Source organism: Homo sapiens, chromosome 19 (genome assembly GCF_000001405.40).
Source record: "Homo sapiens chromosome 19, GRCh38.p14 Primary Assembly".
In the NCBI taxonomy this organism is placed as follows: domain Eukaryota; kingdom Metazoa; phylum Chordata; class Mammalia; order Primates; family Hominidae; genus Homo; species Homo sapiens.
In genome coordinates, this window is record NC_000019.10 from 47,950,867 (window position 1) to 47,966,356 (window position 15,490).

Sequence of the window (15,490 nt, forward strand, 5' to 3'; positions counted from 1 at the left end):
AGCCCTGACCATCCGAGCTCAAGCAATCCTTCTGCCTCAGCCTCCTGAGTAGCTGGGGCCGCAGATGTGCACCACTGCACCTGGCTAATTTTTAACATTTTTTGTGGAGCCAGAGTCTGTATAAAATAAAGTGTAAATAGTACCATAAATAAAGAATACATAGTACCATTTTATAGTAGTATAAAACGGACATTAGAAACTCTGGACTTAAAGTTTAAAAAAATACACAAAAGTAGTTCTCAAGTTCTAGAGACTTGGAGAATCCAGGAATCAACAATGTCGTGGAACTCCTACAGCCTTTCATAAAGAATGGCCCTCGAGGAAAGTGGAATTGTCAGTGGGCATTGTGTTCGTGCCTCAGCTAAACACGGCAGGAATTTATTTATAACCTAGTGTAACATCCTCGAGGCACTGTTCAATTAGTCAAGCAATTGTAAAATTCTCCCAGTCTTAGAAAAGATACAGGTGTGTGTCCCTCTGCTGTGGCTGTGCACTGACGCTTCAGTAAAAGTTGCCGTCTAAAACCACCGGCCTGCCCTTGAATTGTTTTGTTTTGTTTTGTTTTGTTTTGTTTTGTTTTGTTTTTTTGATTCGCAGCCTCACTCTATCACCCAGGCTGGAGTGCAGTGACACGATCTCTGTTCACTGCAACCTCCGCCTCCCGGGTTCAAGCGATTCCCCTGCCTCAGCCTCCTGAACAGCTGGGATTACAGGCACCCGTCCCCATGCCCGGGTAATTTTTGTATATTTAGTAGAGATGGGGTTTCACCATGTTGGCCAGGCTGGTCTCGAACTCCTTACCTCAAGTGATCCATCCGCCTCAGCCTCCCAAAGTGCTGGGATTACAGGCGTGAGCCACTGCGCCCGGCTTCTTGAATTAGTTTCTAGGAGAAGCCAAGAACCCCCCCGGGCTAAGCCTCAATTTTGGGGCTCGCCTGTGCTGCATCAGCTTCACACCTAGAGAAGAGAGTGAAAGAGAAGGGAGAGCCGTCCTTTTGGGCTGCCTTGAAATAAAGGTTGACCCATGGGTTCATGTATTGTCATTCATTCTCATTTTCTCTTCCTCTCTTTCTCTCTCTCCCCTGCCCCTTAAGTTAGCTTTTCTACACCCTACCTGGATAAGGATAAGAAATAGAAGGAGGGGACACTTTAGGATGCTACAAAATAAAATACAACAACAACAACAATAACAGCAGCAGCAACAACAACAACAGCAACAAAAGGGGAAGAAACAAATCTGGCCACTGCACATTCCTCCTTGCCAACAAAAAGCCGCGGATGCAAAAAGCTGCCCTTCACTGCATAGACAGAACAGGGCGCGCTCGAGCTATGAATCTCGGAAATTACTCAAACCATCAGCCTCTGCAAGAAGCAAAGTGGACGGCCGGGCGCGGTGGCTCACTCCTGGAATCCCAGCACTTTGGGAGCCCGAGGTGGGCGGATCACGAGGTCAGGAGATCGAGACTGTTCTGGCTAAGCCAGTGAAACCCCCTCTCTACTAAAAAAATAACAAAAGCGAAGTGCATCTCCCATAAACGAGGTACTGCAGGAAGAAAGCAGAAAATGAGACCCGAGTACACACATGCACGCGGGCGTGCGCACACACACACCAGAAGAAATGAACCAAGAGGAAAGGAAATATTTTCAAGTAAGCATTTGGAGATGGGAAAAACACCTTGAAACAGAAATTCATAAAGTACACACATGTTTTTTTTTTAAGTTAAAAGAGGAACAATAATAAACAGGCAGAAAATGAATAAAAAATAAAATGTCATATCAGAAGTGAAGATAAATTAAAAGTGGTCAAAGGAGAAGAGATCTAAATGCAAACTTAAGAAGGGGCAATTTTTTTTTTTTTTTTTTTGAGACGCAGCCTCACTCTGTCGCCCGGGCTGGAGTGCAGTGGCGTGATCTTGGCTCACTGAAACCTCTGCCTCCTGGATTCAAGCGATTCTCCTGCCTCAGCCTCCCAAGTGGCTGGGATTACAGGCATGAGCCACCATGCCCGGCCTAGAGTCATCATGGAAATTAAACAACCTGCTTCCAAATGACTTTTGGGTAAAGACTGAAATTAAGGCAGAAATAAAAAAATTATTTGAAACTAATGAAAACAAACATACAACATCCCAGAATCTCTGGGACACAGCTAGAACAGTGCTCAGAGGAAGTTTCTAGTGCTATATGGCTACATTAAGAAGCTAGAAAGATCTCAAATGAACCGCCTAACATCACACCTAGAGGAATTAGAAAAACAAGAGCAAATCAACCCCAAAGCTAGCAGAAGAAAAAAAAAAAACAAAATCAGAGCTGAGCTGAATGAAATTGAGATGTAAAATACCATACAAAAGATCAATGAAACCCAAAGTTGATTTTTTAAAAAAATTATTTATTTATTATTTATTCCATAAATTATTGGGGTACAGGTGGTATGTGGTTACATAAGCTCTTTAGTGGTGATTTGTGATTTTGGTGCACCCATCACCTGAGCAGTATACACTACCCCCTATTTGTTGTCTTTTATCCCTCGCCCTCGCCAACTCGTCCCCCTAAGTCCCCAAAGTCCATTGTATCATTCTTATGCCTTTGTGTCCTCATAGCTTAGGCCCCACATATCAGTGAGAACATACGATGTTTGGTTTTCCATTCCTGAGTTACTTCACTTAGAATAATACTCTCCGGTCTCATCCAGGTCACTGCAAATGCTGTTAATTCATACAAAGTTGATATTTTTGGAAGCATAAATAACATGGAAAGACCACTAGCTAGATTAATAAAGAAAAAAAGACAAGATCCAAATAAACACAATCAGAAATGACAGAGGTGACATTACCACTGACCCACAGACATACAAGAAACCCTGAGACTATTCCACATGCCTCTATGCACAAAAACTAGAAAACTAGAAGAAATAGAGAAATTCCTGGAAACATAAAACCTCTCAAGATTGAACCAGGAAGAAATGGAAACCCTGAACAAACCAACGATGAGTTCCAAAATTGAGTTAGTCATACAAGACCTACCAACCAGCGCAAAAAACCTTAGACTAGACGGATTCACAGTCGAATTCTACCAGATGTGTAAAGAAAAGCCGGCACCAATCCTACTGAAATTATTCCACACAATTGAGGAGGAGCAACTGCTCTCTAACTCATTCTATGAGGTCAGAGTCATTCTGATACCGAAACCTGGCAGAGACACAACGAAAAAAGGAAAATAGGTAAAGTAATACATATGTTAATGATCTTGATTTAGCCATTCTACGGTATATACATATTTCAAAACAATATGTACATGATAAATATGTACAATTTGTCAATTAAAAATATATAAAAGGAAGAGGAAAAAATTCAAATGGCGTAGAATTTGAAAGGAGAAGATACAGAACAAACTCCAGTGTCTTCTTTATTCAACTATATATACACACGTTCAATGGACCGGGAGCAGTGGCTCAAGCCTGTAATCACAGCACTTTGGGAGGTCAAGGCGGGCAGATCACCTGAGGTCGGGAGTTCGAGACCAGCCTGACCAACAGAGAGAAACCCCAGCTCTACTAAAAATACAAAATTAGCCGGGCATGGTGACGCATGCCTGTAATCCCAGCTACTCGGGAGGGTGAGGCAGGAGAATCGCTTGAACTCAAGAGGTGGAGGTTGTGGTGAGCCGAGATGGCACCATTGCACTCCAGCCTGGGCAACAAGAGCGAAACTCAGTCTCAAAAAAAAAAAAAAAAAAAAAAAAAGGATTTAATGAATGAATGATGAGACCGTTGGTGACATCTCCCACCTTCTCCCTCTCACTCCACTGCAGCCACACGGGGCTCCTCACTGTTCCCGTAGCAGCAGGCATGTGCCCCCACAGGGCCTCTGTACTGGCTGTTCCCACTGCCCGAACACCCTCATGCACCATCTGCACTGTCCAATACGGCCGCCTCTGGCCACACATGGCTACTGAGCAGTTGAACATGGCTGGTCCAAACCAAGATTTCCAAGACGTCGTGTGGTAAAAAAAACAACATAAAATTTTGCAAAAATGTTTCTATTGATTATGTTAAAATTATGATGTTTTAGGTATATTAGGTTAAATCAGCTATTTTATCAAAATGAATCTCGCCTGTTTGTTTTTGCTTTTTTTTTTTTTTTTTTTTTTTGAGATGGAGTCTCGCTCTGTCGCCCAGGCTAGAGTACAATGGCGTGGTCTCAGCTCACTGCATCACTGCAACCTCTACCTCCCAGGTTCAAGCGATTCTCCTACCTCACCCTCCCAAGTGGCTGGGATTAAAGGCGTGTGCCACCACACCCAGCTAATTTTTGTATTTTTGTAGAGACAGGGTTTCACCATGTTGGCCAGGCTGGTCTCAAACTGCTGACCTCGTGATCTACCTGCCTCGGCCTCCCAAAGTCCTGGGATTACAGGTGTGGGCCACTGCGCCGGCCATGTTTCTCGACTTCTGCTGGCAAGCATGTTCCAGTATTTGCATGGCTCCTAGCCCTCATCTCCATTTCTCTGCACAGATGTTATCTTCCCCATGAGGTCTGCCTTATACATGAGGCCTGTATTATAAAGTGCAACTGCCAATTCGCCAACCCCGTTGTTTCTTCTCTCCAGAACACTAGGCACCATCTGATCTCCTATGCCTTTTCCTTATTGTCAGATACTGAACTCTCAGATACAGTTCCCCTTCCTCCCTCCAGGGGGCGCCATGGAACGCAGGGCCCTCACTGGCCCTGGGGACTGGGTGACGTCAGGGGTGAGCCTCTGGTGATTGGCTCCCTCACCCTGCGTAAGATCAAAGGGCCTAAAGGTCAGCCCCGACACCCGGAGCTATTGTGGCTCCGGCCGGTTGCGCGGGCCCTCGGACCCTCAGAGAGGCGAGGGTTCGAGGGCTCGAGTTCGAGGCCAACCTGGTCCACATGGGTTGAAAAAAAAATTTTTTTTATCGTTCCCAATATAACAACAAAACATAAAGGGAGGACGCCTTGATAGGAAGAAATGACATCTTCCTAAGTGTTTTTAAATTACTTCAATGTATCTTTCTTTTTTTTTTTTTTTTTGGGAGACCGAGGCTTGCTCTGTTGCCCAGGCTGGAGTGCAGTGGTGTGATCTTGGCTCACTGCAACCTCTGCCTCGTCGGTTCAAGGGAGTCTCCTATCTCAGCCTCCTGAGTAGCTGGGATTACAGTCGCCTGCCAAGAGATGGGGTTTCGCCATGTTGACCAGGCTGGTCTTGAACACCTGGCCTCAAATGATCCACTCGCCTTGGTCTCCCAAACTGGTAGGATGACAGGCGTGAGCCACCGCGCCCAGCCTCTTCTATTCTTTTAGAGACAGCGTCTCACTCTGTTGCCCAGGCTGGAGTGCATTGATGTGATGTGTGATCATAGCTCATTGCAGCCCTGACCATCCGAGCTCAAGCAATCCTTCTGCCTCAGCCTCCTGAGTAGCTGGGGCCGCAGATGTGCACCACTGCACCTGGCTAATTTTTAACATTTTTTGTGGAGCCAGAGTCTGTATAAAATAAAGTGTAAATAGTACCATAAATAAAGAATACATAGTACCATTTTATAGTAGTATAAAACGGACATTAGAAACTCTGGACTTAAAGTTTAAAAAAATACACAAAAGTAGTTCTCAAGTTCTAGAGACTTGGAGAATCCAGGAATCAACAATGTCGTGGAACTCCTACAGCCTTTCATAAAGAATGGCCCTCGAGGAAAGTGGAATTGTCAGTGGGCATTGTGTTCGTGCCTCAGCTAAACACGGCAGGAATTTATTTATAACCTAGTGTAACATCCTCGAGGCACTGTTCAATTATTCAAGCAATTGTAAAATTCTCCCAGTCTTAGAAAAGATACATGTGTGTGTCCCTCTGCTGTGGCTGTGCACTGACGCTTCAGTAAAAGTTGCCGTCTAAAACCACCGGCCTGCCCTTGAATTGTTTTGTTTTGTTTTGTTTTGTTTTGTTTTGTTTTTTTGATTCGCAGCCTCACTCTATCACCCAGGCTGGAGTGCAGTGACACGATCTCTGTTCACTGCAACCTCCGCCTCCCGGGTTCAAGCGATTCCCCTGCCTCAGCCTCCTGAACAGCTGGGATTACAGGCACCCGTCCCCATGCCCGGGTAATTTTTGTATATTTAGTAGAGATGGGGTTTCACCATGTTGGCCAGGCTGGTCTCGAACTCCTTACCTCAAGTGATCCATCCGCCTCAGCCTCCCAAAGTGCTGGGATTACAGGCGTGAGCCACTGCGCCCGGCTTCTTGAATTAGTTTCTAGGAGAAGCCAAGAACCCCCCCGGGCTAAGCCTCAATTTTGGGGCTCGCCTGTGCTGCATCAGCTTCACACCTAGAGAAGAGAGTGAAAGAGAAGGGAGAGCCGTCCTTTTGGGCTGCCTTGAAATAAAGGTTGACCCATGGGTTCATGTATTGTCATTCATTCTCATTTTCTCTTCCTCTCTTTCTCTCTCTCCCCTGCCCCTTAAGTTAGCTTTTCTACACCCTACCTGGATAAGGATAAGAAATAGAAGGAGGGGACACTTTAGGATGCTACAAAATAAAATACAACAACAACAACAATAACAGCAGCAGCAACAACAACAACAGCAACAAAAGGGGAAGAAACAAATCTGGCCACTGCACATTCCTCCTTGGCAACAAAAAGCCGTGGATGCAAAAAGCTGCCCTTCACTGCATAGACAGAACAGGGCGCGCTCGAGCTATGAATCTCGGAAATTACTCAAACCATCAGCCTCTGCAAGAAGCAAAGTGGACGGCCGGGCGCGGTGGCTCACTCCTGGAATCCCAGCACTTTGGGAGCCCGAGGTGGGCGGATCACGAGGTCAGGAGATCGAGACTGTTCTGGCTAAACCAGTGAAACCCCCTCTCTACTAAAAAAATAACAAAAGCGAAGTGCATCTCCCATAAACGAGGTACTGCAGGAAGAAAGCAGAAAATGATACCCGAGTACATACATGCACGCGGGCGTGCGCACACACACACCAGAAGAAATGAACCAAGAGGAAAGGAAATATTTTCAAGTAAGCATTTGGAGATGGGAAAAACACCTTGAAACAGAAATTCATAAAGTACACACATGTTTTTTTTTTAAGTTAAAAGAGGAACCATAATAAACAGGCAGAAAATGAATAAAAAATAAAATGTCATATCAGAAGTGAAGATAAATTAAAAGTGGTCAAAGGAGAAGAGATCTAAATGCAAACTTAAGAAGGGGCAATTTTTTTTTTTTTTTTGAGACGCAGCCTCACTCTGTCGCCCGTGCTGGAGTGCAGTGGCGTGATCTTGGCTCACTGAAACCTCTGCCTCCTGGATTCAAGCGATTCTCCTGCCTCAGCCTCCCAAGTGGCTGGGATTACAGGCATGAGCCACCATGCCCGGCCTAGAGTCATCATGGAAATTAAACAACCTACTTCCAAATGACTTTTGGGTAAAGACTGAAATTAAGGCAGAAATAAAAAAATTATTTGAAACTAATGAAAACAAACATACAACATCCCAGAATCTCTGGGACACAGCTAGAACAGTGCTCAGAGGAAGTTTCTAGTGCTATATGGCTACATTAAGAAGCTAGAAAGATCTCAAATGAACCGCCTAACATCACACCTAGAGGAATTAGAAAAACAAGAGCAAATCAACCCCAAAGCTAGCAGAAGAAAAAAAAAAAACAAAATCAGAGCTGAGCTGAATGAAATTGAGATGTAAAATACCATACAAAAGATCAATGAAACCCAAAGTTGATTTTTTAAAAAAATTATTTATTTATTATTTATTCCATAAATTATTGGGGTACAGGTGGTATGTGGTTACATAAGCTCTTTAGTGGTGATTTGTGATTTTGGTGCACCCATCACCTGAGCAGTATACACTACCCCCTATTTGTTGTCTTTTATCCCTCGCCCTCGCCAACTCGTCCCCCTAAGTCCCCAAAGTCCATTGCATCATTCTTACGCCTTTGTGTCCTCATAGCTTAGGTCCCACATATCAGTGAGAATATACGATGTTTGGTTTTCCATTCCTGAGTTACTTCACTTAGAATAATACTCTCCGGTCTCATCCAGGTCACTGCAAATGCTGTTAATTCATACAAAGTTGATATTTTTGGAAGCATAAATAACACGGAAAGACCACTAGCTAGATTAATAAAGAAAAAAAGACAAGATCCAAACAAACACAATCAGAAATGACAAAGGTGACATTACCACTGACCCACAGACATACAAGAAACCCTGAGACTATTTCGCATGCCTCTATGCACACAAACTAGAAAACTAGAAGAAATAGATAAATTCCTGGAAACATAAAACCTCTCAAGATTGAACCAGGAAGAAATGGAAACCCTGAACAAACCAACGATGAGTTCCAAAATTGAGTTAGTCATACAAAACCTACCAACCAGCACAAAAAACCTTAGACTAGACGGATTCACAGTCGAATCCTACCAGATGTGTAAAGAAAAGCCGGCACCAATCCTACTGAAATTATTCCACACAATTGAGGAAGAGCAACTGCTCTCTAACTCATTTTATGAGGTCAGAGTCATTCTGATACCGAAACCTGGCAGAGACACAACGAAAAAAGAAAAATAGGTAAAGTAATACATATGTTAATGATCTTGATTTAGCCATTCTACGGTATATACATATTTCAAAACAATATGTACCTGATAAATATGTACAATTTGTCAATTAAAAATATATAAAAGGAATAGGAAAAAATTCAAATGGCGCAGAATTTGAAAGGAGAAGATACAGAACAAACTCCAGTGTCTTCTTTATTCAACTAACTGAAGCACTTATTTAAATAATTAACTTGTTTAATTTATTTTAATTAAGTTAATTATTTAAATTATTTAAACAAGTGTTGAATTGCTTTAGTTTCTGCTAATTGTTCTAAATAAACAGACATAGAATACAAAAATCACAAAATGTCAGAATAAAATTTCTTTTCACAAACATACAACAAAAACTTAGCAATAATTAATGTAGTAACATAGACTGGTTTGGTGTCTTACATGTGTGAAGAACTTGTGAACAGAATTTGATTCCTCAGTTGAATATTGGTTCTAGAATTTGAGGATCATTATTCATTCTGAGCAATCAAAGTTTAACCTAAAATTAAACAGAAAAATATTTAACTTAAAGCTAGTCCCAGAATAGCACAGCTAACATCACACTGAACTGTGAAACCTTTTCCTCTAAGATCAGGAAGAAGACAAGGATGTCCACTTTTGCCACTACTGTTTAACAGAATAGTGGAAGCCCTTGCCAGAGCAATTAGGCAAGAAAAAATAGTAAGAGGCAACCAAACTGGAAAGGAAGAAATAAATTATCTCTGTTCACAGAAAACATGATCTTGTGTATAGGAAACTCTAAAGATTCTACATACAAAATGTGTTAGAACTAATACATGAATTCAGCAAAGTTGCAGGATATGAAATCAACTCATAAAAATCAGTTGCATTTATATACTAACAACGAAGAATCCAAAAAAGAAACAATTCCATTTATAATAACACCAAAACCTCCCAAAGCTTAGGAATAAATTTAACCAAGGAGGTAAAAGACTTGAAGTTAAATAAGATATAAATAAATTAAAAGACATTCCGTGTTCATGGACTGGAAGATTTAATACTATTAAGATGTCAGTATGGACCCAAAGCAATCTACCAATTCAATGCAATTCCTACAAAAGTTATAAAGGTTCTTTGCTTTGTTTTGTTTTCGCAGAAATAGACAAATCTATCCTAAAATTCATACGGAATCTCAAGAGACTCAGAATAGCCAAAACAGGCTGGGCATGGTGGCTCATACCATGTAATCCCAGCACTTTGGGAGGCTGAGGCAGGCAGATCACCTGAGGTCAGGAGTTCAAAATCAGTCTAGCCAACACGGTGAAACCCTGTCTCTACCAAAAATACAAAAATTAGCCAGGCATGGTGGCACATGCTTGTAGTCCCAGCTACTTGGGAGGCTGAGGCAGGATAATTGCTTGAATCCAGGAGACAGAGGTTGCAGTGAGCTGAGATGGCGCCACTGCACTCCAGCCTGGGTGACAGAGTAAGACTTTGTCTAAAACAAACAAAAAAATGAATAGGCAAAACAATCTTGAAAAATAAGAACAAAGTTGGAGGCTTCACATTTCCTAATTTCAAAACTTAATACAAAACCACAGTAATTAAAACAGTGCGGCGCTGGCATAAAGACAGCCACATAGACCAATGGAATAGAATACATTGAAATTTTCTAAAGGACAATTTTTTCAATTTCCAACTTTTATGTGGTTTAACATTCGTAAGCAAGTTTGTGTTCTTTGAATCACTGAGAGCTTTTGAGCATGTAGCAATATCCTGCACAAATTTTGCATGAGTGTGTTAAAGACGGGTAAGTATTAAATGTCTCATGCAGCCGGATGCAGTGACTCACACCTATAACCCCAGCACTTTGGGAGGCCAAGGCAGGTGGATGAGTTGAGGTCAGGAGTTCGAGACCAGCCTGGCCAACATGGTGAAACCCCGTCTCTGTTAAGAATACAAAAATTAGCTGGATGTGGTGGTGGGGGCCTGTAATCCCAGGTACTTGGGAGTCTGAGGCAGGGGAATCACTTGAATCCGGGAGGCAGAGGTTGCAGTGAGCCGAGATTGCACCACCGCACTCCAGCTTGGGTGACAGAGCAAGACTCCGACTCAAAAAAAAAAAAAAAAGGTCTCATGGAGGAAGTCAGTTCTGTAGAATGACCCCACTGCAAGATGCTCTTCCAGTGCCAGGAAGTGGATTATGTTCTAGGAGCCATGAAGGAGAGTTTACAGAAGCCCATTCTCCGCTTCATCATCATTGTAACACAATGAAAGCTGATGACATGGCTGCTTGGCTACACTGTGTTTATCAGCTTCTCCTGCATTTAGAATGGGGGCATGTAACTACACACTCTAAGTAGGTGCTTACCCAGGTCCAGAGTCTCCAGGAATAAGATCAATGTAGAAGAGCAGCTACAGAAGGAGTCGGTTGACTTGAATGACATAAAAATAAATCATGGTAATTGCTTAAGCCTCAGCATTTTTTTTGTACTGTCCCATTTAGATAAATGAATAGAGTTTGACAACAGTCTTTCATGTCTTTGTTGGTGCCACCAAGCTCTGAAATTCCCAAGGAACATAATGTTTCTTCACGCGCTCCATTCTCGTAGGAGGCTAACTACGATGACGTGCAATGTGACTTTTCCCTATCTTAATAGCTGGGCCCAAGGGTCTGGGAACCGATGTGAGTCATACGCCTTTCTGAAAATATTTTTTTCAAACTGTATTACTCCTGGGCCCTGCGGAAATCATTGCAGAAAGTATTTGGTATCACACTGAGCTAACAGAGAAGTGAACCTAACTCAGGACTCTGTCTCATGTTCCTATAATCTTCCACTCTAATCACTGGATATCAGTGGTATTCCTAGTCCTTGAAAACTAATCTTTGCTCAAAACCAGTATTCAGTAGGCTCTGGAAAGTTTATGTATTTACCTTTGTAATTTCTTTCTTTCTTTCTTTCTTTCTTTCTTTCTTTCTTTCTTTCTTTCTTTCTTTTTTCTTTCTTTCTTTCTTTTTTCTTTCTTTCTTTCTTTCTTTCTTTTTTTTCTGAGAGACTAGAGTTTCGCTCTAGTCTCTCACGCTGGAGTGCAATGGCGCGATCTCAGTTCACTGCAACCTCCGCCTCCCAGGCTCAAGCGATTCTCCTGCCTCAGCCTCCCGAGTAGCTGGGATTACAGGAATGCGCCACCATGCTCAGCTAATTTTTGTATTTTTAGTAGAGATGGGGTTTCACCATGTTGGCCAGGCTGGTCTCGAACTCCTGACCTCAGGGGATCCACCCCCCTCGGCCTCCCAAAGTGCTGGGATTACAGGCGTGAGCCACCGTGCCTGGTCCCTTTGCATTTTCTTACTGTGTCTGCCTATGGCCTTATAGCAGTGCCTGGTTACCCAGCCTTGCCTTCACTCAAGGGGCATTGAGTTGGTGAACTGTCTTGTGCCTGGAACTGGGAGAAAAGCCATGACTCTAGCGCGATGGTTCCAGTCTGGCTGTTATACTGTGGATCTTCTGTGCAATGAACGTCTTTTTTTTTTTTTTTTTTTTGAGACAGAGTCTTGCTCTGTCACCAGGCTGGAGTGCAGTGGTGCAATCTCAGCTCACTGAAACCGCCCCCTCCCGGGTTCAAGCAATTCCCCTGCCTCAGCCTCCCAAGTTGCTGGGGCTACAGGTGTGTGCCACCATGCCAGGCTAATTTTTTGTATTTTAGTAGAGACGGGGTTTCACCATGTTGGCCAGGATGGTCTCGATCTCATGACCTCGTGATCTGCCCGCCTCGGCCTCCCAAAGTGCTGGGATTACAGGCATGAAGCACTGCACCTGGCCACAATGAATGTCTTTAAGTGAACTGTCAGTTGAATTCATTTCTGAAAAAAACCTATGATTATCACCACCAGATGTCGCTCTTGCACCAGCCATTCTCTATGATCTGATTAGTAATTATACCCTGTTGCCTGGTATCACTTTGCTTCTTAGGGATTAATTGCCACCACCTGGGCTCAATCACACCAGGCTCTGCCTGTCTCCACTGGAACCCTGAAGCTCACTTCAAAAAGCATGGCTTTCTGCTAGCATTCCTAGAGCGGAAAAGCAAGTCAGCCATATTCTTTACAAAAGATTTCCTATGCTTTGTGAAAGATTAAGATGAGATTTATGGGTTCACAAAGACAATGTTTCCGTTTTTTTAACCATAATCTATAGAAAGAATAGACTTTAAAATATGAGCTGACTTCTATCTATCCATCATCTATATCTTTCTATTTAGGCATCCCTATCTATCTATACAATCTCTAAACCTTTTTAGAAATAACTCATGCCATACACATGAAACACTCTGTGTTTTTCCATCCACGTTTGCAGTATTTTTAATTTAAACAATGCTGGTTGTGCTTTGATAAATGGAAGATTATGACTCACCATTTGAAAAGAGCTGGCCTAAGTGTGTGTCTTTCTTTTCTTTTCTTTTCTTTTCTTTTCTTTTCTTTTCTTTTCTTTTCTTTTCTTTTCTTTTCTTTCTTTTTTTGATGGAGTCTCACTCTGTCGCCCAGGCTGGAGTGCAGTGTTGCTATCTCGGCTCGCTGCAGCCTCAGCCTCCCGGATTCAAGCGATCCTCCTGCCTCAGCCTCCTGAGTAGCTGGGATTACAGGCGCCTGCCACCACACCTGGCTAATTTTTGTATTGTTAGTAGAGATGGGGTTTCACCATGCTGGCCGGGCTGGTCTCAAACTCCTGACCTCAGGTGATCCACCCGCCTTGGCCTCCCAGTGTTGGGATTACAGGCTTGGACCACCGTGCCTGGCCCTAAGTGTTTTCTAACATAAGCATGGATAGGTTTAAGAGTGGAGGGTGGGCGTTTGTGTGTGTGTGTGTGTGTGTGTGTGTGTGTTTGTGTGTGTGTGTGTGTGTGGTCACAGGGCCTCTGGACATTGCCATCCCCCTTCACCTCTGCACCTGCCTAATTGTCATTAAACTATCGGGACCCAGCCTGGTTGTTGTCCCTTGTCCCTTCCTAGAAGTGATCCCTGATCCTGCAGGCTGAGCAAGGGTCCCGTTCTCTGGCCTCCTCTTACCCCTGGAGTCTCTGGTTTTTTTTTTTTTAAATTAGTTAATTAATTAATGTATTTTTGAGACGGAGTTTCACTCTGTCTCCCAGGCTGGAGTGCAGTGGTGCAATCTCAGCTCACTGCAACCTCCACCTCCCGGGTTCAAGTGATTCTCCTGCCTCAGCCTCCTGAGTAGCTGGGATTACAGGCAGGCACCACCACACCCAGCTAATTTTTGTATTTTTAGTAGAGACAGGGTTTCGCCATGTTGGCCAGGCTGGTCTCGAACTGCTGACCTCAGGCGATCCACCTGCCTCAGCTTCCCAAAGTGCTGGGATTACAGGCATTAGCTGCTGTGCCCAGGCATATACTCACTGTTTTCTTGGCCATTCATGAACACGTGAACAGCAGGGAAGAACTGGAGTTGTTCAATGCCCTCATGCCCTGCTGAGGTTGAACAAGGTGATGCTCCACCTTCTTGTTTCGGCTTTCAGTGTATACAAGGGTCCTTCAGGCTGGGCGTGGTGGTTCACAACTGTGATCCCAGCACTTTGGGATGCCGACACGGGCGGATCACCTGAGGTCGGGAGTTCGAGACCAGCCTGACCAACATGGGGAAACCTCGTCTCTACTAAAAAATACAAAATTAGCTGAGTGTAGTGGTGCATGCCTGTAGTCCCAGCTATTTGGAAGGCTGAGGCAGCAGAATTGCTTGAACCCGGGAGGCGGAGGTTGCAGTGAGCTGATATCTCGCCATTGCACTCCAGCCTGGGCAACAAGAGTGAAACTCTGTCTCAAAACCAACCAACCAACCAACCAACAAACAAAACACACACACACACACACAAACAAAACAAAAAATAAACAAGTGTCCTTGTGATCTATTTAGTCTCATGTTTTTCCCATTTTTGTATTTTTTCTTGGCGATGTCACTGTTTAAATGACTCCCAAGTGTAGTCCTAAAAGCAAGGGGTTATGGCGCACCTTATGGAGAAAATATGTGTATTAGAGAAGCTTCATTCAGACCTGCATTCAGCCCTGTTGGTCTTGAGTTCAGTGCTAATGAATCGACATTATGTATTAAATGAAACATCTTTAAACAGAAACACATATAAAAGAAGGTTATGTATTAGTCAGTTAACAAAAACATTGTGACCAGAGGCTCTCAAGAAACTAACCTTCTATTTCCCCTAAAAGCACCAGCTCGGTATTCACTAATTCAGTGTACATGGCTACTTTCTAGAACACATTTACCACATACAGCAAGAATTGACTGCATCAGCTTATTTTAGATTCACAAAGACCTATGAGACTTCTATCTCCACTTTACAGATGAGGAAACTGAGTCTTAAGAGAGATCAAGAAACTTGCCCTTCATCAATGATGCAGCCTGGATAGCAAACATATCCTTTGTCCTGTTGCTCAAAGAATACTCAAGAAAGGCCAGGCGTGGTGGCTCACGCCTGTAATCCCAGCACTTTGGGAGGCCGAGGGAGGGTGGATCACTTGAGGTCAGGAGTTCGAGACCAGCCTGGCCAAATCCCCATCTTTACTGAAAATACAAAAATTAGCTGGGCGTGGTGGCATGTGCCTATAGTCCTAGCTACTTGGGAGGCTGAGGCAGAACAATCGCTTGAACCCAGGAGGCGGAGGTTGCAGTGAGCCGAGATCACGCCACAGCACTCTAGCCTGGGCTACAGAATGAGACTCTGTCAAAAAACAAAAACAAAAAACAAAACAAAATAAACAAAAAAACTTAAGGAAGCTCACAAAGCTCATAGGTGTTTAGAAAATAAACGTCCTCTGCCACGTTAAAAAAAAAAAAAAAAGGTATACTGGCAGCTGGAGTAGGAGACAACCTGCAGGGG

At 43.4% G+C, this 15,490-nt stretch overlaps 1 non-coding gene across 1 annotated transcript; it reads left to right on the forward strand.

Moving 5' to 3' along the window:
* Positions 1–4,815: 4,815 nt before the first annotated feature.
* SNAR-C1 (small NF90 (ILF3) associated RNA C1) lies at positions 4,816–4,935 on the forward strand. Its single transcript, NR_024220.1, has one exon. It is a non-coding gene; the product is annotated as a small NF90 (ILF3) associated RNA C1 (small nuclear RNA).
* Positions 4,936–15,490: the final 10,555 nt, after the last annotated feature.